Consider the following 25815-nt stretch of genomic DNA (forward strand, 5'->3'; position numbering starts at 1 on the left):
TGGGGATAAAATCACTTTTTATTTTGCTTTAAAGTTTAGTAGTTCCCTCTCAATTAATACAATACTTATTGGCTTAAAATCCAGGCTGTTTGTTACAAGATTAGTCATTATGTTGTCCACACCTACTTTTCTCGCTTCATCTATTCTCCTTGCTTCTCTTTTTTCAAAAACCCAAGTCTTATCATCATCATAAACTATTTGCAGTTCTTTTAACCTATGCTTTTATGGGTGTTTCTCTTTCTGCCTGGATTGCCTTTTTTTCTGGCCTTTCTTTCTTCCGTGTAACTATTATTCATCAAATCACATCCTTTTAGTAGCCATTCTTGACCCGTTTCCCCAAATCTGATACTTTTTTGGCTGTCATTGTTATGTTGAACATATCTTTATTGTAGCAGTTACCACACTATTATGTTTTCTCCACTATAAACATGTAGTGGAGAGTAACTGTGCATTTAAAAATGTAATTTTATGTCCCTAAAGCCAGTAAGAGTTTCCAGTATATAGCAGTCATACAGTGTTATTTGAGTAGGATATAGGAATGGATTAGTGAACTTGGTAGTCAAGAAATATTTCGTAGGAGAAATAGTTGAGTCAGTCCTCAGTGGTGTGAGTAGGTTTTGGGCAGGCAAAAATGAAAGAATATGAAAATGGTATTCTAGGATTGTGATAGTATGTGAACGAAGGCAGGGAAAACAGAAAATGATATGCAGTTCACCCTTGAACATCATGGGTTAGAGCTGTGTGGGTCCCTTTATACATGGATTTTTTTTTCAACTAACTGCAAATAGAGAATAGAGTATTTGTAGGATGTGAAACCTGCATATATGAAGGGCCAACTTTTCCTGTACACAGGTTCCATAGGGCTAACGGCAGGACTTAAGTATGCACGGATTTGGGTATACTCAGGGACACTGGAACCAACCCTCACCCCACCGCAGAATACTACGGGACCACTATACATTAAGGGAAAGTTTTCTTAACCCCAGTATTGTTGAAATTTGGGGGCAGAATTCTTTGTTGTAGTGAGCTGTACTATTCATTGTAGACAGCATCCGTGGCCTCTAAACACTATGCCAGTAAATGCCAATAGCATTCCTCAGTTGTTAAACTCATAATGTCTCCAGACACTGCCAAGTGTCCTCAAGAGGGGAGCAGGAGTTAGTGGGGAATCACCCCCTGTTGAGAGCCCTGCATTAGTGGAACACTGAATAAGTAATTTATTGATTGTTCAAAGGATTTATATGAAGTACAAGAATTAAAGTTTAGAATTATAGAGTAGGACCACGTTAAAGTAACTTAAATGCTAGGATAGGGAATTTGAGCTCTATATTACTGGAAATTCATATTTGTATTCAGTAGTTGTGCTGCCTCTCACCTGTCTTCTATTCTCAGCCCCTTGCTGTTTAAAATATAGTTCTTGGACCAGCAGCATTGGCATCACTTGGGAACTTGTTAGAAATACAGAATTTCAGATCCCTCTTAGGCTTATTGAATGATAGTCTGCATTTTAGCAAGATTCCCAAGTGACTTATGTACACAGTAAAGTTTGAGAAACACTGCTTTGATCACATCACATAGAGGAATGCCTAACTCACGGCTGACCTGATTTAGAGAGTACTGTGATGACACTTGTGATTAGGAAGATGGGTCTGGTGTTTTTGATCAATTGAAATGAAGAGGTCCTTAAATCATAATGTCTCAGCCATGAGGCCATGAAGACTTGCAATTAATTTTGTAATTTCTGCCACATGAATGAAGACAAGAACTATTACAGAGGAATAATTAGCAGAATTTTGTAACTGATTGGATATAAGAAGTAAGGAAAGTTTGAACAGTAATAGCTTTTGAAAGTTTGTGATTAAATTCTGTTACTGCTAGTTAAATGGGCACATCTGAATAAAAACAGGTGTTGGTGATTGGGAGGATAAAATAATTTTGGTGTTAGGTTTATTGAGTTTGAGGATCTGTAGGTGGAAATAACCAGGTGTAGGTAGTTAGAAGCTGAAGCATCAAGCCTTGTATTAAAATTGGGGAAAGTTCAGAATCATCTGGGTAGTAGTGTTTATCAGATAAAAGTTTTTAAGTGAGATACAAAAGTAATTGCAGGCCCAGGGCTGATTATTTATTTAAAGGAAGGGGTTAGAAAAAATAGGAAGAGCTCTCAGAGAGAGTTATAAGAAGAACTCAGGCAGAGTAATATCATATCAAGAAAAGATATGAAAGTTTTTAAGAAAATGTTATTCTAGCAGCCATTTCCACAGTAAGAAGTAAGCCCTACAGAAAATGTTTTGACTATTTTTTAGTTTCTCCTAAGGACAGCACTTAGCTAGTATCATTCTAAATCCATAGCCTAGGAATTAATTCATTACTTACAACAAATACTGTAACACATTAGGACTTAATTCTTTTCAACTGATTGGAAAGAGCTGTGCTGAAGTATCAAATTCTACAAAGTTAAAGAGACTAGACATAAAAGTGTTGAGTTTTAGATTAGGGGTCTTTGATGACATTAGAGTTTCAATGGAGTGGTAGTAGCAGAACCAAATTTAAGGAATGTAGTATTTGCACCACGTATAATCACAAATGACTGTTTTCCCAAATTTATGTAGAACTTTTACTCACCAGTAAGAAAAAAATAGACACCTGGCTATGATAGGCATTTTGCAGAAGAAAGGTTCCAAATGATTCATAAACATATGAAAAGATCTTCAACCTTATTCATAATCTGAGATATTAAAAATAAAATCTCAGTGGTATACCATTACATACCTATCAGATTGCAAACATTGAGAAGTCTGTGATAATATCAGCTGGGTGACAATATCAGCTGGTGAGTATATGGACCAGCAGGAGCTCTAAGATTGGGAGTAAATTGGTACTGTGGAAAGGTTTTTGAAATTATCTGATAAAGTTGAAAATAAGTAGTAGCAATTCTAGGGATATACTTGTGCACAAATATGCTAAGATACATGAATGGAAATGTTTCTTGTAAAATTGTTCAGATGAAACAGGAACTCCATTGTCCATTAGTAAACTATAAAGCAATTAAAACTAATAATATATACAATTGTATGTAAATCCAAATGATCTAAAAATAAAAAAGTAAAAAAATGAATTCCAAAAACAATAAGCTAAAGCTAAATGTTCCAATATGAATGAATCTCCAGAACACAAAGTTGAGTCAAAGAAAAAGTACAAAAATACGTATGGTCCAATTCCATTCTTAGAAAGTTCAGAAACAGGCTAAACTGTGTTGTTTAGATTTGCATGTGTTGGTTGTAGAACTATAATGAAAAACAAACCATTGATCTCCAAAGTCAATATAATAGTTTCACATTGAGGTAGGCAGGTTTTTAAGATGTAGTAGAGGAATATGAGGGACTTGTGAGGTTCCAGTAATAATGTTTGTTAAGATGTGTGGTGGTTATATGGATGTTTGCTGTAAAATTGTTCATTGCGTGTGTTGCATGTACTTTTTCATTTGTTATTTTACAGTAATGCATCTTATGAAAGGAACTACATAAGGAAAATAATCATATCCATGAGAGTAAAATGTGAAATAAAAATAGGTTTCAAAGTAAAATATGAAACAAAAATTGGTTCTTTCAATACCATCAAGAACAGATGGTATTAAAAGAACCAACTTGAAGTCCTGGAAATGAAAAAAAAAATCATTGAAATAAAAACTCAATGCACAGAGTAAACTAAAGACTGAACACAAAATTTATGAAGTCAGTACTGAGGAATTACACAGAAGCACCTAACAATTGCTGGAAAATGTGAAAAGATAGCTAAGAGATATTGGGGGCAGAGTAGATTGAGAGGTTCTAACATTGTTACTTTACCCTGCTGAGGAACTTTCTTATATTGGAAGAAAATAGGTGGTATGTACATTCCAGTAAACTTAACTATTAGTGATGGTACGTTAGGATGAGCTTAAAGTATATTTTGTAAATAAAAGTAATTGAACACATTCAGCAGCCCTAATTGGTTCTTTTGGGTATATGAGTAGTTAAAGGTTGAAAGTTCAAAAGGCAGTGTTTTAAATGAAATTATTGAGTCACTTACTGGGCCAAGAAAAACATTTCATCTCCAATAGGTATGCTCAGAAGAACTTTTTTTATTTCTTAACATTTTAACAGTAAGTCATAATCATAACTTATTTTTAAAAGTATTTGCTTTAAAATTTTTTTACTGTAAAATGAAGCTATATATATATATATATATATATATATATATATATTATACATATATAAAACTTATCTTCCAGAGAAGTAATACCTTTAATCTCATAAAGGGAATTGTGATCTCGTTCACAGAAATTTTTTTTATATATTAAGTTGGAAGGAATTCATCGTTCCCTAAAGGAATGTATATCTTTATCAGGTAGAGCCATCTTTGTAGTGGTGGTATGAATTCCTGGTCTCATTTGTCCTAGTTTATGATCTTTTGTTTTTCCAAGAATGTAATTGACGATGGCATTACCTAAAAAGTGTGTGTAGATTTTTATATGCAGTTGTCCTTAAGCTTGTGAAATATGTTTAGATGTGACTTGGAAAGATATAAACATATTCTTGTTTGAATGTAACTAATTATTAAAAAAATATTTAAACAGTTGAACCCACTGTGAGCCTGATAAAAGGGCCAGATTCTTTAATTGATGGAGGAAATGAAACAGTAGCAGCCATTTGCATCGCAGCCACTGGAAAACCCGTTGCACATATTGACTGGGAAGGTGATCTTGGTGAAATGGAATCCACTACAACTTCTTTTCCAAATGAAACGGCAACGATTATCAGCCAGTACAAGCTATTTCCAACCAGATTTGCTAGAGGAAGGCGAATTACTTGTGTTGTAAAACATCCAGCCTTGGAAAAGGACATCCGATACTCTTTCATATTAGACATACAGTGTAAGTAAATGGTAACATTTACTTTTTAAATATTTGTCAGCATGTTTATCAAACTATTTTTAGTTTGAATATTTAATAGCTTTTCCTTGTTTTTGTTTTTCTTTTAATTTTGTTTGTTTTCATGGAAATTTCATTTAACCAGAACATTTTTAATCACTTTTGTAAAGATGGACAGATGACTTTAAAGTTGCTCTCCAACTTAAAATTATATAACCATTTCCTTTTAAGATCTTAAAAGTAGGCTGGACTTAGGGAGTTATGGCAACTTGTCCCTCAAAATGTACAATGCTAAAGGGCAAACAACTTCTACATTCTAATTAATTGAGCTGTTATTCAGTTTCACCAATGCTCACCATCTTGTTTCCTTGTTGTTGGTGTTTTTGAGATGGAATCTTGCTCTGCCGCCAGGCTGGACTGCCGCCAGGCTGGAGTGTAGTGGCGTCATCTCTGCTCACTGCAACTTCCGCCTCCCGGGTTCAAGTGATTCTCCTGCCTCAGCCTCCCAAGTAGCTGGGATTACAAGCGTGCACCACCACGCCCTGCTAATTTTTGTATTTTTAGTACAGATGGGGTTTCACCATGTTGGCCAGGATGGTCTCCATCTCCTGACCTTGTGATCCTCCCGCCTTGGTCTCCCAAAGTGCTGGGATTACAGGCATGAGCCACTGCATGTGGCCTTATTTTCTTTGTCTTTCCTATATGCATATTAATTAGTTTGAAAAGTTTCTTAGTGTTTAATACATTCTTTGTGATTTGTATACCATTTAAAAATTTCAGGTAGTAAAAAAGGTGATGGCTGCAGATAGCTTATAGCAAAGATAATGAAAATTAGGAACATTAGAAAAGTAGGTTCTGCTTTTACTTCTATCCATGTGCAAATTATAAATCTAGGTGTTTTTGAGGGAGTTCTATTCTTTGTTGTTGCTACTTACTTGCTTTTTGATATGACATGCATGGAGTTTTAAATTACACATATTCATTACACTTGGTGTAATCATTTTTAAAGCTAATTCCCAGGATCTTTTTCAACCTTTATAGGGTTAACTTGAAAAGCTATAGTTTAAAAAATGTTACTACCATTGCATTCTTAAATGCTAATACCATCTTTTCTCAATTCTCTGGAGAATCGTGTTAAAATTTTTCTTTTTCCTTTTCCTACCTTGCTTTTACAGAGTGTTAACTTTTTTCTTTTTCTCATAAAATTCAGATCCCAATTGGAAGTTAATGTATTTTGCATATCCATATATGTTTACCTTTCCAGTGTCTAATAATGACTGATATTTTCAATTTGTTTTTTTTTGTTTGCTTGAATGAAATCTTAGATATATTTCTTCTAATGTAAGTGTTTATAATATGGTATTGATTTGTTGGCTTACTCCTAAAATGTTCTTAGAATAGTCATGACATTTTTCCTTTTGTAAATTGGAGACCTATAAGACATGTAAACAAACTTAAATATTGTCTTATAGCACAAATTTATACCTCAATATTTAGAGATATCCTCTTGGGATACTTTTATGCCTAAACTCACAGGTATCTGGACTGTTCTTTCAGCAACATTTTTTAGTACCACTTTTAAGTTACAAAAATATTTGTTAATCTTTGTTTTTTTTTAATTTCTGAGATAATAGTACCTTATCAAAAGTTCAATTTTTTACCACTATTTTGTAAATTTTGCTTTCCAGTAGGACAGTCTTCCCTGGCAGAGGTAAAGACTGATCTGGTCTCTCTCTCTAGTTTCTCATCAGATCATGTGCTGCTAACTTAGTTTTCTATGTAGCTCACAGAAAGCTAGAGAGTCTCTGCATCATACATAACTAGCACTTCATTGGGGAAGCCTTTTATCACCTCCAGCCCCATGCCCAACTTAAATTAGGCCTTTCTTTTTATATTCTCTCAGCATCCTACTCTTTTTCTTCTTGGCCCTCATAAGGAGTTTTAGTTAAGTATTTTTAAATGTCATCTTCCCTATTACTATTAGAATATAAATTTTATGTATATAAAGTCTGTGTGTATACCAAACACCTAAAACAGTGTATTATTTCTTTCTTTTTTTTTTTTTTTTTTTGAGATGGAGTCTCACTCTGTCGCCCAGGCTGGAGTGCAGTGGCGCGAACTAGGCTCACTGCAAGCTCCGCCTCCCGGGTTCGTGCCATTCTCCTGCCTCAGCCTCCCGAGTGGCTGGGACTACAGGCACCCGCCATCACGCCTGGCTAATTTTTTTTTTTTTTTTGTATTTTTTAGTAGAGATGGGGTTTCACTGTGTTAGCCAGGATGGTCTCAATCTCCTGACCTCATGATCCTCCCGCCTCAGCTTCCCAAAGTGCTGGGATTACAGGCGTGAGCCCCCGCGCTGGGCCAAAACAGTGTATTATTTCTAAGTGCCATGCCTGGCACTTATTAGGAGCTAAACAGAGTGATGGTTGAATGAATGATAGTTATTGGACTTAGTAGTTTGGAAGTATATATTTATATTGCTGGTAGATATGGATAATTGCTCATTCAACTAGTTGTGTTGCACATATGCTAAAAGACTTTTGGGTACATGGAATGGATGAAAATTCATGTTTTAGTACATTTGAAGCCCTAGCTAATTTACTTCAGTTTTAAGTATGTAGTCATGGAAAGCCTGTGTCACATCTCTACATGCCCCCAATATATTAATTAATTGTAACATAGGGAATCTAGTCACTGTAATTGACCTGATACCTCTTAGAAGATATTTCCTTTTAGATTAAATATCTCATTAAAGACTGTTTTATATGGTGACTTGGTACTACATGGTACTTAAATACCATGTCTTATTTAATTAAATACTATAATGTATTTGCTTTGTTCCTGTATCTCTACATCTCGCATAATAGGATTCTTACATTTTGCTTTTGGTGATTATAGGTTTATGAATATTCCTTAACATTCAGCATTTCTAATTACTCAAACTGTATGTAGTAGAATTGCCTGTTTGGGGGGTACTCATTCTCCATTTTATTCTTTCAGTCAGCCAATACTTGTGGAGTAGTGTCTTCTGTATTGATTATACATGTTGAGACTAAGGAAAAATGGTTCCTGTTATTCTAAGGCTTTGTCTATTATCTTAATATTTTATCATGTATATTGCATTTATCATTAACAAAAGGTAATCTGTCCTGTCATGCATTTATTTTATAGATGCTCCTGAAGTTTCGGTAACAGGATATGATGGAAATTGGTTTGTAGGAAGAAAAGGTGTTAATCTCAAATGTAATGCTGATGCAAATCCACCACCCTTCAAATCTGTGTGGAGCAGGTAATGTTATATACTTCGAAAGAGAAATTATCTAAAAGTGAAACCTTCTTAAATCCCCATTCTAAATTGTTTTTATCTGTATAATACATGATTATAGTAATAGCAGAAAATTTTAATTAAATTTTCTGTCTTATCCTTCCCCACCTGTCCCCACCTTCCTACCCCCTCAGTTCTGATCTTTAGAGGCTACTTTAGCAATTTTAGCAGTTTCTTACGGTTAGTTACAGTCAGAGGTCTTAAGCTGCTACTACTTAATAGTTTTTAACATTGTCAATTGACTTCTTAGATAAATAATTATAATTTTATGTCTACTCCTTCATTTACAAACACACCCATATACACACATTCCTACCTTTCATAGTCCAAACGAAATTTTAGCTATTTTAAATTAAACTCAGTAATCACTGTTTGCTTCTCTAGGACAGGTAAATGTTACTAAGAGCTAAGTAGTAGTATACCAGACTTCTGTTTTCTCTTGTCTATAGCCATTTGTTTTCCTAATGGCTAATATTTGCCTCTTTTTACTTGTGTAGTTACTACGTGCATAATTTTCTTTCTCTGAAATTTCAAACTGTTATACCAAGGTTTTTATTCATATTTTGTCAGTATTTAGGGCCTATTTTGATCTCCAGATGTATCTATCAACTTGAATAATTTTCTTATTTTTTGGTCATTTCCCTCTTTTTTATTCCTGTTCACTCTTTTTGGAACTCCTGTTTATTGTATAATAAATATCCTTTCTTTTATATTTTCAGATGGTCTTATTCTTCCTAGAAGATTTTCTTGATTTTTTTTTAAATTTTCCATTGACTTAATGATATAAATTTTTTTTGGCCTGTTTTCAGTTTTTAAGAGCGTCTTCTCATAAGACGGAGCATCTTCTCATTGAATATTCATTAGAGAATGAGAAGATGCTCTTATAAACTGAAAATAGGCCAACAATAAAAATATGTTATTTTCATAGCACGCTTTTCTTATTTTATGAGTGTAGTATCTTTCTTGTTTCTTCCCAGGGATACTAGAATTATTTCTTCCCCAGATAGTTTTTTTCTGCTTTCTACATACTATCTCTTTTCCCTCCAAGTTCTTTTATTTTTTGGTTTGGTCTTTCATTATGTAGATATTTCTTAATCTTGTTGGTTGTTTAGTCTTTCACAGTGAAGCATTAAATAAAATGCTTAGTGGATGCTTTCTCTGCAGTGGGGATTGCTCATTAGATTCCACTTAGAGTAATCAGGTAGAGATGTGATTATTTTCCTGGAGAGGCTCCAGATACCACTAATAGAAGAGTGGAAGTCTTTATTTCGTGGCCAGTTTATTTCTAGAATTAACCTGCATTTTTTTGCCCCAGAGATGAATGTCTGGTATTTGTACAGAGTTGGGAGGAATCTGTTGTTCTGTTGTGTATCTTTTAACTTGCTCTTGGCCTCCTTCTAGTTTTCTGAGGTACAGTGAGTTGAACTCCAAATTTTTTTTTGGATTCTTTGGACCAAATTGGCTGCTTTCTCATCCATGTGTTTTTCATAAGCAACCCTTCACCCTGAAGTACAACTTTTCAACTTTGGCACTATTGATATTTTAGGCCGATAATTAGTTTTTGTAGTGTGCAGTCCTGTGAATTGTAAGATGTTTTGAAGCATCCCTGGGTTGAGAAACACTGACCTAAGGCATATATTGTTTTTTAAATCTATTTTCTGTCTTCTAAAAGTGTGTTGAAACATCTTGTCTGTTGAATTCTGCCTCCTGTTTTCTCCTCTAGGGTTTTTAATAACTTTTTAATTTCTGTACTCTTCCTGGTGGGATTTTATGGGAGTTAGGAAGCACTATATCTGGTCAATCAGTTGTCTTTAAGCCTGGATACTATTTTAAAGGTAGAGAAAACCTTTTTCATTTACATTTTTTTTAAATGGGAAGCAGTCATTAGTTAAGATTTTTATTTGATAGAGTGTTTCTAAAAGCCATACAACTCTGGATTCTCATCCCAATGTCTAAACTTCTATATGTCTTTTTTGAGTAAATCATTTAACCCCTCTAATCCTAAATTTCCTTGCCAGTAACAGTACTTCATAGAGTTTTTGTGAGGTACAGACAATGAATATAAGTCATGTAACATAGACACAAGGGCATAGAAGATGCTTTTGTTGTAGGTTTAATGTGATATTTAGATATTTCTAAGTCATTTTACAATTTCTCAGAGAATTAAAGGGATTAAAACTTTGAGCCCAAAGTACAAAGGTAATTGTTAAGACATATATAGTTTATTTTCATTGTTATCCTTGTAGAAAGTTTATCTTTTGAAAGCCGATACTTGCAAAAATTTTCTTTCCAAAGCCTTCTAAAGAAAAAGGTTAGGTGCTTTTGTTTTCGTTTTTTAAACCATGTAAGCATATTATCTTTATCCTTCAGTGCTGAATTGAAGTACTACCAACTCTAAAAGATTTTACAGATTATTTTACCACTCACTACACTTGAGATCGCAAAACAAAATTATTCTATCTGTTCTTCAGTGTTGATTTGCTTCTTTCCACCTTTTTATTATTGTTTGTTCTTATTCCCTGTGTAATCATTTGTCAATCTTCTATGTACTTACATAATTGAAAATAGAGACTACATTTTATTTACTTCTGTATCTCAGCACCACCAGCAAAGCAGAGTATGGCAAATAGTGGGCTCCTAGTAATTGAATGAAGGAATAAGTGAATAAACTTTTTGAAAATCTACTTAGCCTAAACTGTAGTAGTTGAGCACCTAGGTTTACTTGACTTTTTAATCTTCTTTTCTTTCTTTTTTTTTTTTTTTTTTTTTTTTGAGACAGAGTCTCACCCTGTCACCCAGGCTAGAGTGCAGTAGTGCCATCTCGTCTCACTGCAACCTCCCCTTCCTGGGTTCAAGTGATTCTCCTGCCTCAGCATCCCAAGTAGCTGGGATTACAGGCACCCGCCACCATGCCCAACTAATTTTTGTATTTTTAGTAGAGACAGGGTTTCTCCATGGTGGCCAGGCTGGTCTCTGACTCCTGACCTCAAGTGATGTGCCCGCCTCGGCCTCCCAAAGTGCTGGGATTACAGGTGTGAGCCACTGTGCCCGGCCTTATCCTCTTTAAAAAAACCAAAAACAAACAAACAAAAACCTTTAAGCTTTAAAAACACTTATTTGTTGTTTTTTTTGTTACCCTCAGGTTAGAAAAGTGATTTTTAGCAGTGTGCCTAGTTCCGTTACAGTGAATGACTTTAGAATTCTCATAGTGGGACTCTACATGGTTTAGAGTAATATGGATACTAGGTATAGGACCTCTTAGCCAAATTAGTGTAAATACTGTTTTAAAGAGTTATTATTGATACCAAGTGGTGTCTTGGTTTTTATTGTCACAGATGCCCACCTTACAAGTGAAATTATTTTATAGGAAGACCCATTTTGCTGTTTTAGAAACTATCTTTGGATAGAGCACAGTGTCTATTTGCATTAGCATTAAATGATGCTCTATAAATATGTTATAGAGGGTGCTAAAACATTACATATTTAAGTGAGATGACTTTGCATGAAGAAAATTGTAGATATGTCATGAATGGATCTCTGATTCAATGAGAATTTTATTTGATATTGTATGTATGTCTTCAAATAATATATTTTTCTAACTTCCAGTTTTCTGAATAAAATTTTTTTAATTATATTTTTTCTCTGCTTTTCTCCCGTTTTATTATGTTGGCAGAGCCACTCTTACATGGACTGCTATTTTGGAAGAATGGGTGTTCTTAATGGCCTTTATTCATTCATCTTTATTAAAATGAAAATTTGTTACTTTTTTTTTATACTTTCAGTGAATTTTGTCTGAGATGCTTTTTTATTTTGACTAACATCTCAAACATATAATGCCTCATTTTAACTAGCTGTCAATAAATATAGTCTGAAGATATTTAAAATAATTTTATGCATTTTAAAATCTAGGTTGGATGGACAATGGCCTGATGGTTTATTGGCTTCAGACAATACTCTTCATTTTGTCCATCCATTGACTTTCAATTATTCTGGTGTTTATATCTGTAAAGTGACCAATTCCCTTGGTCAAAGAAGTGACCAAAAAGTCATCTACATTTCAGGTAAGTTACTATCTGCTTGCAAAATGAGTTATTTAAAATATTTCTGAATAATCATAGTAACAATATGATCCTAAGCAATAATTTGTACTTGTAAAGATACAGATTCCTCAGTGTGAAGTTTTTCCAAATAATCTAAAAGGAATATGATAAAATAATCCTATCCTGAGATAGGTATGTAATGTGGCATCCTTTATTGAAATGTCAAAGTGTCTGTGCAACAAGTTTATTTACTTTTTGATGCCTGTACATATAGTTAATTTTTCAGTTCAACAGTACTATTTCTTTAATACATAGTATGACTTTCTAGATTCTTTTATCTTTACACTAAGAACAAATAGTGATTTTTTTCTTTTGCTTTGATGGCCACTTTGTACACAGTTGTCTGGTAAATAAAATGGAATATTAAATTTGATGGCTTGTTAAATAGCGTTGTTTCCCACTTAATATGGGACTATACCATATTGTGTTACTGAGAGGTGAAATAGGAATGCTACTGAAAATGTGTTAATGAAATAAAATTTGTGATGTTTTTTATTGTCTTTAAACTACTAATAGCTTAGATTTTTCACATTCTGTTTCACTTTGAATATTTTTGTTAATTTGGCTGAGTATAAATTTTGGCATTCGTAAAATAGAGAGCTAAAAATACATCTTTTCCTGGTTGTGGCTGCAAGTAATAAATTATCAATAGAATGCTTATTTATAAAAATTCAATAAAATATTTTGAGCATCTCCTTACTGATTACAAGAATGTAGCAATCTTCCTGTCTAACAAATGGAAAATTAAGAGGTAAAAGGAAGAGAACCTAAGAAACTCAGGTTTGTATGGTAATTATGGAATAAATAGTTAAGGGTTTTATCTTTGTTCAGATCTAAAACTAGATAAATTAGAGGTTTTGGTGAAATTTTGTGCTTGCTTAAGTGTTATATTCTCAGTCCTTGTGTGATCAGTCCAAGAAAAGTACCACGTATTATATTGTCTTAGAGCACTCACCACAGTTTTTAGTTGTATGCTCATTTCTTTGCTTATTATTTATCTTCACAATTCAGCAATTTGTGCTTGCTTTATTCACGACTGTATACTCAGCAGTGAGCATTGTGCCTGGCACATGATAGAGGTGCAAACTTTCTTTTTTTTTTTTTTTTTTTGCATGAGTCTAGAAAGAAGCTTAGAGCTGTATACATCCCTAGCCCTTTCTGCCAGTATCAGTACTTTGGTGGAAATCTGTATTTTTTTTTCTTTTGAGACGTGGTCTCGCTGTGTCACCCAGGCTGGAGTGAGTGCAGTGGTGTGATTTCAGCTCACTGCAACCTCTGCCTCCCGGGCTCAAGCAATCCTCCCACCTCAGCCTTCAGTAGCTGAGACTACAGGTATGCACCACCATGCCCAGCTAATTTTTGTATTTTTTGTAGAGACAGGGGTGGTCTCTCTATGTTGTCCAGGCTGGTCGTGAACTTCTGAGCTCAAGTGATCTGCCCACCTCAACCTCCTAAAGTGCTGGGATTACAAGCGTGAGCTACTGTGCCTGGCTGGAAATCTGAATGAGGTTACATATTAGTATATTACTCTCTCTTTAGTTAGAGAATAAGCCAGGGAAATGCATAGTTAAAATATACTTAAGGACTGTTTATTTTGTTTCTGTTGTACAATTTGGTGTGGGATATTACTTGTAGACCTTAGACTCAATATGTCTATGTAATCATTTAAATATCAAGGCTTGACTGGGCGTGGTGGCTCACACCTGTAATCCCAGCACTTTGGGAGGCCGAGGTAGGTGGATCACCTGAGGTCAGGAGCTTGAGATCAGCCTGGCCACTATGGTGAAAACCTGTCTCTACTAAAAATACAAAAATTAGCCGGCATGGTGGTATGCGCCTGTGATCCCAGCCACTCAGGAGTCTAAGGCAGGAGAATCGCTTGAATCCGGGAGGCAGAGATTGCAGTGAGCCCAGATCGTGCCATGGATGACAGAGCGAAACTCTGTCTCAAAAAAAAAAAAAAAATTAAAAAATAAATATCAAGGCTCATTTTGGACACTCTTGTATGTACTGATTTAATTGATAATATCCTAAATTTATACTCTTTTATCATTCTGAGTGCAGTGTTCAGTACTCTTGACTTGTGTGTCCAATTGCCTATTAATGATCATTAACTCTATGTAGTAGTCTAATAGGTATTTACAACTTAACATATTCAAAACCAAGGTCTTGATCTTTCTATTGCTCCTTGATACCAAACATATTTCTGTACTCATCTTCCTTCTTTCAGTTACTGGTACTTCTTTCCTTACATTTGTTCAGGATACAACCCTTGATAGTTATTCTTGATTTTGCTTTTTCTCTCACACCCTAGTTAATTCATTAACAAATCAATACCAGCTCTTCCATTATGTTAAATATAGAATCTTAACAGTTCTTCAACTCTTCTACTACTACTACACTAGTCTAAGCCATAAGCCACTCTTATTTCACTATTACAATAACCATTTAATCTCCCTACTTTGCCTGTGTCCCCCTTCAGTTTGTCAGCAAATGAGCAGCTAGGGTAGTTCTTTTAAAGGACATGTCAGCTCATGTCACTCCTCTCCTCAAAACCTTCCATGGGCTTCCCATTTTACCCACAATGAAAACCAAATCCTTACAATGACTTACAGAGCCCTTCTTCCAGATGATCTCTCTAATTTCATTTCTTATATGTTTTGCTCATTGGCTGAGTCACTACTGGACTCCTTGCTGTTCTTCAAACATAGCAGGCACATTCCTACCTCAGAGTCTTTTGCATTTGCTGTTTTCACTGCCTGGAATGCTTTTACCAGGTATCATCAGAGTTCTTTACCTCACTTCTTAAGGCCTTCACCTTCACCTTTTTCAATGAGGTCTTCCTTCATGGTTATATTTGAAATAAAATACCCTCCCTTCTCACCCCTTTGCTACTATTGGTCCCCTTCTTTTTCTCTTTAGCACGTATTGCCATGTAACCCCATGTATTGCCATGTAAATATGTAAAATATTTACATATTTTCTTGTTTTTATATGCTTGTCTGTTTTTACCCTCAGAACGTAAGTCTAAACATAAAGCCTGCTTTAATTACTGCTATATTTCCATTATCTACAATGATGTTTAGCATATGATAGACGTTCAATACAGTTTTGTTGCATGAATGAATAAATTTGAGAATAAAACAATCAGGAATCAATTTACAAATCCAGAATCTGCTTTTGTGTAACTTAACTCTTTAAAAAGGGAAATCAAATTTTGAGTAAATATGAACAAAATCAGTTTCAGCACTTTCGAAGAAGTGGCGTTATATGAGATAATTTTTTTTTTTTTTGGAGACAGTCTCGCTCTGTCGCCCAGGCTGGAGTACAGTGGCACTATCTTGGCTCACTGCAACCTCTGCCTCCCGGATTCAAGCAGTTCTCCTGCCTCAGCCTCCCAAGTAGCTGAGACTACAGGCACACGCTGCCATGCTCAGCTAATTTTTTTGTATTTTAGAAGAGACAGGGTTTCACCGTGTTGCCCAGGCTGGTCTTGAACTCCTGAGCTCAGGCAATCCACCCACCTCAGGCTCCTAGTGTGCTAGGATTACAGGTGTGAGCCACTGCGCCCAGCAGAGAATTTTTTTTTTTTTTTTTTTGAGACAGAGTCTTGCTCTGTCGCCCAGGCTTGAGTGCAGTGGAGCGATCTTGGCTCACTGCAGGCTCCGCCTCCCGGGTTCACGGCCACTCTCCTGCCTCAGCCTCCCAAGCAGCTGGGACTACAGGTGGCCGCCACTACGCCCAGCTAATTTTTTGTATTTTTAGTAGAGATGTGGTTTCACCATATTAGCCAGGATGGTCTCGATCTCCTGACCTCATGATCCACCAGCCTCGGCCTTCCAGAGTGCTGGGATTACAGGCATGAGCCACCGCACCTAGCCGAGAATGTTTTTTTTTTTTTGGTAATCAGTAGTTAGACTTTACTTTTCTATCCAGAGTCTGTAACACAGCATACTATCCTGAGATTAGTTAACTCATCTAACAACTGCTTGGAGTATGTCAGGTATCCTAGGTATAATGCTGCCTTTCCAGAATGACTATTTAGTAAAACCTAGTAGGCTTTTACAAGAGTGAGAAGCCATAATTCACAAAATAAATGACCAGTTAATCTTTTTCATTGTTACATGTACTCATTTTCCTCTAGGAAAAAAATGTTACCTCAGTATTAAAATAGATATTTAAAAATTTGAGAAATTATTTTTAATATATGTAAAATAAATGCATCTTAGGACTAGAGATGAAAAGTTCTGCTCAGAACAGAATAAGCAACTCTGAGGGAAATTGTTCTTAATTTTGTTACACATTTTCCCACATTGATAAATGTAAGATTTTGGATAACAGGTTTTTGATTTAGGATTGCAATATTCAACCTCAGTTATTAAATTGTACTCTATTATATAATAGTAATACTCTCAAGAGGTATAGTAGCTCTTTGACTAGTACTTACTGACTACTGGAAATTGTGTTTTTCTGGTTTGCTTTTGATGTATATTTTTCCCTTAACTAATACCTGTTTCTTATCTTTAAATTTAGAAAAGCAAATTTTGATATGTCAAATAAGTGCCCCTATGTCTAAAACTCTTATTCCTGTGCACAGCTTGAATTTCAGGTCATATTGATTTTAGGATCCAAGTGTAGTTTCAAACTTAAGAATCTGCTTACTTAGCAATCCTTAAACATTAAAATGCATTATTTCATATATTTAAACACCTATATGAAGTCTAAAAGAAAAATAAGCCAATTAATTTTTATGACACTAAAAATATACCTTAGAAGACTAAAATATGCCTTTTACGGGGCATTACATGACTATTTTATGGTTTGGCAGAACTCATTAGAAAAGGAAACTTAAAGTTCTTCATTTGGGTGAGAAGAACTATAAAAGTCATTATATCCATTATATACTCATTTATCACACAGTCAGCAAAGAGTATGAAAAATAATATCTAACTGAAAAATGAGGAATACTTTTGGGAAGGATTTAAAATCATGATATGGTGATGAAAAATAGTCCTACCTTATAATAATTGTGACTGTCATTGTAAATTAGAAAACAGAGAAAATATTTTGCACGCATTGTCATATTTCCATTGCTTAAAATGCAAAATAATGAAGTATTAAATGGCCTCTCTTTCATGGAATGATATTACTAGTGAGGCTCAGTTATTTTTAACACTGATTAAGGAGTGGGATGGTAGGTTGAAACATTTCTAGAACCATCAACAAAAATAAGATTTTAAAGTAACCCTTTTGGTTAGATTTTTCTCAAAGCCATATTTTGTTAAATCTGAGTGAAATGGACAATAGATGACCATTTGTGTTCATATAAAGAAATTTGCAAATAGAAGTAATAAATGTCAGGGTTTCATTATTTAGGATACTTGGTAAAAATGTGTCTTATTTGGTGAGAGCTCAAATATAGTCACTGTTCTGAAAAAAACTAGCATATAAAGAACCATGAAAAACTTTAAAACTCTACTGGCAGAAAAGTATTTAAATTATAAATAATTAGATGATTTTTACTTTAATTTAAATATGCTGATGCCAGTTTATTATATTTTTTTCTTTGCAAATCATTGTAAGGATGACATTCAATACATTAAAGTTGACTTTCCCAGTACTTCTGCTTCCTCAGAAAATACATGAATCGTCTTATTTAATTTTTAGTCTATATTTTTAATGTTCTAATGCTGTGAAGTTGCATTACGTGAGACTTTACTACTTCTATATTAGACATGATCCTTCAATTCTACACTTGTTTTCTTGGGGTTGAATTAGTTCCATTAGTGAATGTTTTCATAAATTAAAACTTCTTTGATTCACTTAAATATACTCTGATAACTAATATTCATCTCAAAGTACTTGACAGGGTTACCTGTTATAAATTTAAACTCAAAATTAGTTATATTGTACTTATTAAATTTTATACTGTACTTGCTAAATTTTTACCACATTCTATACATATGGCATTCCGTGATGAAACCTGTTCAGTAAGTATTTTTCTTTAGCTTGTAATATTAGAATAACTTACCCCATGTAGATTTAGTATTTTTCTAACAATCATTTTTTAAAGCTCTATCAGTACCACTCATTTAAAAATTAATTATAGGAGATTACCATTTGGGTCATTTATTTCTTTCACTGTGAAGGAAACAATATTTTTAAACTTACCCTTTCTTCAAACTCTACAGTTTTGTGTTACATGACCTATAAATACTACTTAATTGATAATTAACCAGTCTTTAATTTTTGCTATTTATGTTTAGTTGCTTTTTAATATTACTGGCTATTTACTCTGTTATCTAATGTCAATACACAGATTCCTTTGCATCTAATATTTAAGTATTATTAGAATGTTCTCTCTAAAATATTAGCTGTTCTTTTTGAGACTCCATCCTAAAGTAGTGACATTAAATTTTGCAGATATAGTTGAAGTTTTTAAATTTCTGAATGTTTAGATAACTTGCCCATAGGGTGTTAGACATGGTGATGACATTTTTATTACTTTATAACATATTTTTACTTTGTCTATTAGTTTCCTTTGGTAATAGCCTATCAGGCTAACATAAGTTTAAACATATGCTTTTTTATTTTTTTAAATTACTAAATAATAGTGTTTACTATATATCTCCTTCCAAAAATTTTGAGCTTTTTTATTTAAAGAAAATATTTTTGAGAGAATTATTAAACCAACAGCTTATACTATGCCCACTTAACAAGAGTCTATAGTTTTTCATTCTTTTAAAGATACGCTCAGCTCTTATAAAAATAAACCATATTATTAATAGGTAAAATGGATATTAAGAAAAACTTTAATTTTTTTATTCTTTTTATTTTCTTGAGCTACTGGCTAAGAAAATGTACATTTGAATTACTTGATTTACTTTTTTGTTATAGTAATTATTAAGCTTGCTATGTAATAGGACACTTAAGTAATACTCTTCATTAAAAAAATAAGGACCTCTTTTCTGGAGTACAATATCACTCATAAACTTGGAATGGAAGAATTACAACATAGGTTTACACCATAGGTTTTATTCCTTTCTCTTTATTGGTGACTGACTAAATGTCAGTGTTGTTTTCTTTTTAAATAGATGAGTACCACTACATTCTAATCTTAATCAAATTAAGAATGAAAAACTATTGTTACTATGAATATATATTCATTAACTGTGCTGTCTTGTCAACTTGCTGCTGAATCAGCCTGCATTGACATTCTTTGCCTTTCTGTGTCTTCTCTATCTTTACTGTTTCCATTAGATCCTCCTACTACTACCACCCTTCAGCCTACAATTCAGTGGCATCCCTCAACTGCTGACATCGAGGATCTAGCAACAGAACCTAAAAAATTGCCCTTCCCATTGTCAACTTTGGCAACAATTAAGGATGACACAATTGCCACGATCATTGCTAGTGTAGTGGGTGGGGCTCTCTTCATAGTACTTGTAAGTGTTTTGGCTGGAATATTCTGCTATAGGAGAAGACGGACGTTTCGTGGAGACTACTTTGCCAAGAACTACATTCCACCATCAGATATGCAAAAAGAATCACAAATAGATGTTCTTCAACAAGATGAGCTTGATTCTTACCCAGACAGTGTAAAAAAAGAAAACAAAAATCCAGTGAACAATCTAATACGTAAAGACTATTTAGAAGAGCCTGAAAAAACTCAGTGGAACAATGTAGAAAATCTCAATAGGTTTGAAAGACCAATGGATTATTATGAAGATCTAAAAATGGGAATGAAGTTTGTCAGTGATGAACATTATGATGAAAACGAAGATGACTTAGTTTCACATGTAGATGGTTCCGTAATTTCCAGGAGGGAGTGGTATGTTTAGCAACCACTGAATGTGACTTAACTATGTACAATGTTCATTCACACTAGTTGATCATTTTCAGATTGTTCATACTTTTTCTTGAGGAAGAATAAGCTTTTTCAAGTTGATTTTCAAGCTTACTTTTTATATTCTAATCTGACAAATGAAAATGTAAAATCTGAGTTCAGTGTATCTAAGCTGCTTTACAATTTTTTTTCAATGCTGTACTACTGTCTCAAGATTTAAATTTTAATGCAGAGTACTTTATTGGTGTGAGGCACACAGGTAAGAAGAAATGTCAACATTAAATGTATGACTTACTTGGTACAAAAATTTTTTAAAAAGGGAACTACCTTGACATTGTGTATTAAATGTTTACCTAAGACTATAATCTCAAGTATGATGTTTGTTTAACATATACCTCTCAAAATTTATCACCACTCAATGACACTGCATCAAAATTGACTATAAAACTAATTCAAGAAATATTTATATATATTTTTTAATATACAAAAAATATTTAGCCTGATGGAATGGCTTTCCTTTTCAAACATTATTTTCTAAGTTTCTATACAAATGAAATCTTTACCTCTGCATATTAATGAGCCTTGCCATAATTACTGTAGAGTGGCTTTTCAAAGATATTTTGTTGCACTAAAACTGTGGTAGTAAACTCAGTGAACATGATGTGTGGAAGAGCATAATTAGCTGGTCAATATTTTTGTCCAAAATACCTGCAAGAGTAATAAAATACATACCTTTCAAACATGATAATTATTAGTTTTTTTTTTTCCTTTCTGGAACATGGATTTTGGTACATTAGCAGTAGCCTTATTTTAATGCTTTATGTCCTAAACATACTAATAGAAATGAAAAGACGCAGAGAGAGCATTTCGGAATACTGAAGTACTAGTTTTAGAAATGAGACTTTCAGCCAACAATCTATAGAAAGAATTTTATGGACCATCTTGTTTTAGTTATTTAATGTTGATGTTGTTCAAATGGGTAAATGTACAGAAAGAAAATTTTAGAGTAAACTTGGAACTTTGGATATAACTAGAAAAAACTAGATTATAGAATTAGTCGGTAACACTTGCTAATGGACATTGGCATTCATCTCCTTTTTCCTCCTAAGTGTATGTATGTGTTTTAAGATTTCTGTTTTTACGATTAAAACTGGAAACATGAGGTTTTTTGTTTTTGTTTTTTTACATAATTACATATATTCCTTCTGAATCATTTATCTTTTGAGAAAGAAATGTTACCTAAACTTCAAATGTGCTTTTTGTTTGTGAGGTAATTAAATTGCTTCTACAGTGGAGGCTTACAAAATTATTGTGACAACTATTTTGAAGCTGAAAGGATAGTTTTTCTATTGCTAAGTCATTTGAAAAAGTGACCATTTTGCCAGTGAAATGAAGTGGAAGTTAGTAGGAGAATCATAAATTAAATATATTATTTTGTTAATAAAAAGGCAAAGTAGTAGGTACTTTTTAAACCCTCCCAACCAGCCCTTTCTCAATATTCATCAAATCTAAAACATTTAGGGGGCAAAATTCTAACATGTTCATGGTATCTTGCAAATAGTGAAAGCTTTATTCTGAAGGATTATAAACTAGTTTTCTTCATTTTAACTAGCACTATTTTGTGGAAATTAGAAACCTCTTTTATTTCTCTTCCCAAAAGTAATACTTATTATAAGGCTGTAGTATCAGGTTAAGGATACAGATAAATAAAGTTCACTTATATCTTCTTACAAATGTCTGGGTTTTAATATGGTTAATCACTTATATACAAATATTACAACTTTTTAGTGCAAGTTTTTGGAAGAAAACTTTTTGATAAAACACTGTGATTGATGTGACTTTATTTTTAATTTAAACGATGAGGTGGCCAGAAGAAAGATGGGTCTAAAATTTCTCCCCATGAAAGATGTAAAACTATGGCTTTTTTTAAAATCAAAATTTCATCTTTTAAAATAATGGTTTGAAATACTGTATGGATCTGAACAGAATAATCACATTTAGGATTCTATATAAATCTCAACTGGAGTATAATCTGAAGGAAATTAGCAGTGTATTTTAAGAAATATATTTCAAAAATATAAATACTGATTATGAACTTCCTTTTACATTGTGGTTATTTGTGCGATTAGGTTTTTTTGTTTGTTTCTTTTGTGTTTGTTTGGCGGGAGAGGGTGACCTGGAAAGCCACAAGTGAGTATTTGACATATTCTGTATCCTTAATCCAATCATTTGGCAAACTAAAAGGTTTCTGTGTTGTAAGAATCTGATACTAGTGCTTAAGACTTTGGGAAGCATTGCACTGTTGTTTATTAGAACTTTATGTATATTTACTGTACATAGAGACTTGTTTGAAAACATGAATAGTCATTAAATAAAGACATTGTTAAATTAGTTTTTGAATACCAGTGATATTCATAACTACTTGACAGGTATATATGAAAATTCTACTATCGTGAAAAAAAATGAATATTTGTACTATTTTTGGCCATATTTATATTTATTTCTTTCATATGGTTTGAACTGTTTTAGCATTTTGTAAATTCACTTGAGAGTTTTCTTTCATACTGGTTAAAATATTTCAATGATATAATGAAGATGAATGCAACTCTTATTTTTCTGCCATTTTTTATTAAAATACATTGAAACTAAAGTAGGCTCGGGGTTAACTTTAAAAGTGATATTTGAGAAGTGCTTTAGAGTTGAAAGATTTAGTATTTTACCACGTGCCTAGTAGGGTTCTATTTGCTAACTCTAATATTGAGGAAACTATTAAGGTTTTCAGTAGTAAGTGTTGCTTCTAATAGCCATATACAGGAAAGTTTTATAAGATAACCCACGGCTAAATATTTTGCATTAAGGAGCTGTAGGAGTACAGTGTATAAGTACAGAAATTGAGAGAAATGTAGTCATTTTATATGTGAAAACATCTGATTTGAGTTTTTGATAAATACTGCTAAAACACAGTATATGAACAAGTAAGAAGTTTATGTATGAAAGTAATCAATGTAAAATATAAGAAAGGAATAAATGGTACCCATTTTGAATTTTTAATTCTAATAGGAGAGTAGATTGTAGATTGAATTGTCTTTCCTGTTTACTTGTTAATTAGAAAATGCATCCTTCATAAACAGCTCCTTTCTCAAATTTTTTGTATATTGTGTTTGTGTTTGGGTTTTAGTTTGTACCCGCGCTAAGTTTTGGTTTTGTTGTGTTTGGTGTTTTTTGTTTTGTTTTGTTTTGTTTTGTTTTTTCTTTTTTAACCAACCTGTGTATTAGGTGTTAGCCCCAATAGCCATGCATGAAATCTTTAAATAAAAGTTAAAAAAGTTCTTTAGAGGCATATTTCTGTAATAAGTTCATTGCTCTATGTTACCATCTTTGTCCTCGTATTTACTAAAGTGTGTGTGTATGTGCGTGTGTAACCTAGTTTATTTTAATTATCAAAATGTAATTAATGATTTGTGGGAATCAGAAACCTGTTTTCCTAAAACAAGACTGTAATATCAGATTGAGGATAGTTGGCATGTTGGCCACTGTAAAATTTTTTCCTTTTTTTTTTTTTTTTTTTTGGTGGTTGGGTTTTTTTCTTCCACTTTTAAGTTCAGGGGTGCATGTACAGGTTTGTTACACAGGTAATGTGCCATGGTGGTTTACTACACAAACCCATCACCTAGGTATTAAGCCCAGCATGCATTAACTATAATATTTTATTTTTGATTAACCATTTAATTCCCAATCATGAATTAACATTCTCCATAGTTATAAATTATCTTATCTCTGTAGCCCTAGCTGTTAAAACCCATTTTATATGTTTTTGCTATTACTTTGGCATAAGCCAAATTTTATATATTGGCTTTCAATTTGGAATTAACACATTTCATAAGGTATTTCTTAAGTTGACATTTAGTGTTTTTTACTTACTACTTTTTGTGAGCTACTTTGATTAGAAATGCCATTGCTTTGAATTGTTTATAATCACCTTGTGATGCATCACTTTGTTTCCTATTTCTGGCTTTTTAAATTGTATTTTTTAAACTATTTTTGACCAGGGTTTTTCTTTGATAATACACAGTTAGACTGGGTTGTTTTGTTCCCTTCTTGGTATCCCAATAAAAAAAATTCATGCATGAAACAGTCTTTGAGGGGTTTGCACAGTAAACCAACTTTCATCTGTTTTTAAAAATGCTTTTCTGTTTATATATTTCTGGGTTTTTTTTCTGTTATAGTCCAGTCATCTGCTTTTTTGTAAAGTACATATATACTTTGACTTGACACTTTGACTTGAGTAGTGTTAGGTTTTTATCAAGAGCTTGAAACCAAAATTGTTTACAAAAGTTTTGCCTTGTATTCCCTTAGGTATCATTTATTTTCTTGAACCTTCGTGACAGTTATGTTTATTTCAATTTAGAAGGATAAAACATGATTCAGTTTTGGGATATATCTTGTTTCATTTGCCTTTTAATAGCTGCTGTTTTTTCTGGCTGGTTGCTAATGAAGCTGATTGAAAGTGACCTTTTAGAGCAATGACCTTTTAGAGCAATAACTTTAAAATGTAATCTTCAAAACACGATTAATAGTTTTAGAGCCTCATTTCCTTATGTGCATAATATTGCTACATAGACATGATATGCAAGTTGTACAGTCTCAATTAAGAGAAATATCCCAGGGAAAACCTAATTGTAAAGTGACAGTTCTATCTAAAAGCCAAAGGTAGGATCTAGGTGACTGGGCCTTTCTTAAAAAACAACAACAACAAAAAGCTTCTTATTATGGAAAATTATACAAAAAATAGGACAGAATAATGAAATGGACCTCCATGTACTAGCTTCAGTTATCATCAGTTCCTGGTCAGTCTTATTCAATTTAGACCCCTACCTACATAATCCTTCTTGATATTATTTCATCTGTAAATAAATCAGTATATAGCTTTGAAAAATAAAAGACCTTTTTAGAAAGTAACCACAGTATCATTATTACACCAAAATTAATAATAATTCCCTAACATTCTGTCAAGTGAGCATTCAAATTTCTAATTGTATGTATTTTGCAGTTTTAATCAGGCTTTCCAAATATGATCCATTCATGTGATTGCTAGAAATAGCTTTTACTCTGTTTACCCCCACCCCATTTTCCCTTGCAATTTATTTCTTAAAGAAACTGCTTCATTTGTTCTAAATTTTTCCAGTTTAAATTCTGCCATTTGCATCCCACACACATGCCTCTGTATTTTCTGTAAATTGATAGTGAGATCTAGAGCCTTGGTTAGATTGAGGTTTAATTTGAGGGCAAGATTACATCACACATAAGTGGTGCTATGTCTTTCCATCAGAAAGTACATGCCTACTTTTTTGTGTGTGATATTAGCTGCCATTTGGTGCTCGATGCCTAGATCTATTAACCCTGTTCTTTTACCATATCATATACCTAGATGTCTGAATAATTGTCATGCTGCTTCCTATCAACTTTATCTATCATAACCTCACATCTTCTTCTGGTTTTTATTTCTCTTCTCCAGATCAGTAAAAACTCCTTTAAGTGTACCTCCCAGTTCAAAATTAGTCTGTACTCCTATTATACATGTGCTACTACAGCAGTTTGCTAACATGCATTATAAAATATTCAAAAATGGAAATTT

At 33.3% G+C, this 25815-nt stretch overlaps 1 protein-coding gene across 10 annotated transcripts in view; it reads left to right on the top strand.

The window, feature by feature from the left end:
• NECTIN3 (nectin cell adhesion molecule 3) overlaps positions 1 to 25815 on the top strand; it is a 122355-nt gene that overhangs the window by 42225 nt on the left and 54315 nt on the right. For 6 of the 10 annotated variants that reach the window (XM_017006125.2, XM_011512663.2, NM_015480.3 and 3 more), the window contains 4 exons: positions 4616 to 4912; positions 8081 to 8198; positions 12144 to 12295; positions 19595 to 23520. In XM_017006125.2, the coding sequence (XP_016861614.1) occupies positions 4616 to 4912; positions 8081 to 8198; positions 12144 to 12295; positions 19595 to 20175 (1148 nt within the window). In that variant the 3' untranslated portion in view covers positions 20176 to 23520. Of the gene's footprint in view, positions 1 to 4615; positions 4913 to 8080; positions 8199 to 12143; positions 12296 to 19594; positions 23521 to 25815 lie in introns of those variants that run through there. The other 4 variants (NM_001243288.2, XM_017006123.2, XM_017006126.2 and 1 more) reach the window with 2 other exon arrangements.

Source organism: Homo sapiens, chromosome 3 (assembly GCF_000001405.40).
Source record: "Homo sapiens chromosome 3, GRCh38.p14 Primary Assembly".
NCBI classification, from domain to species: Eukaryota; Metazoa; Chordata; class Mammalia; order Primates; family Hominidae; genus Homo; species Homo sapiens.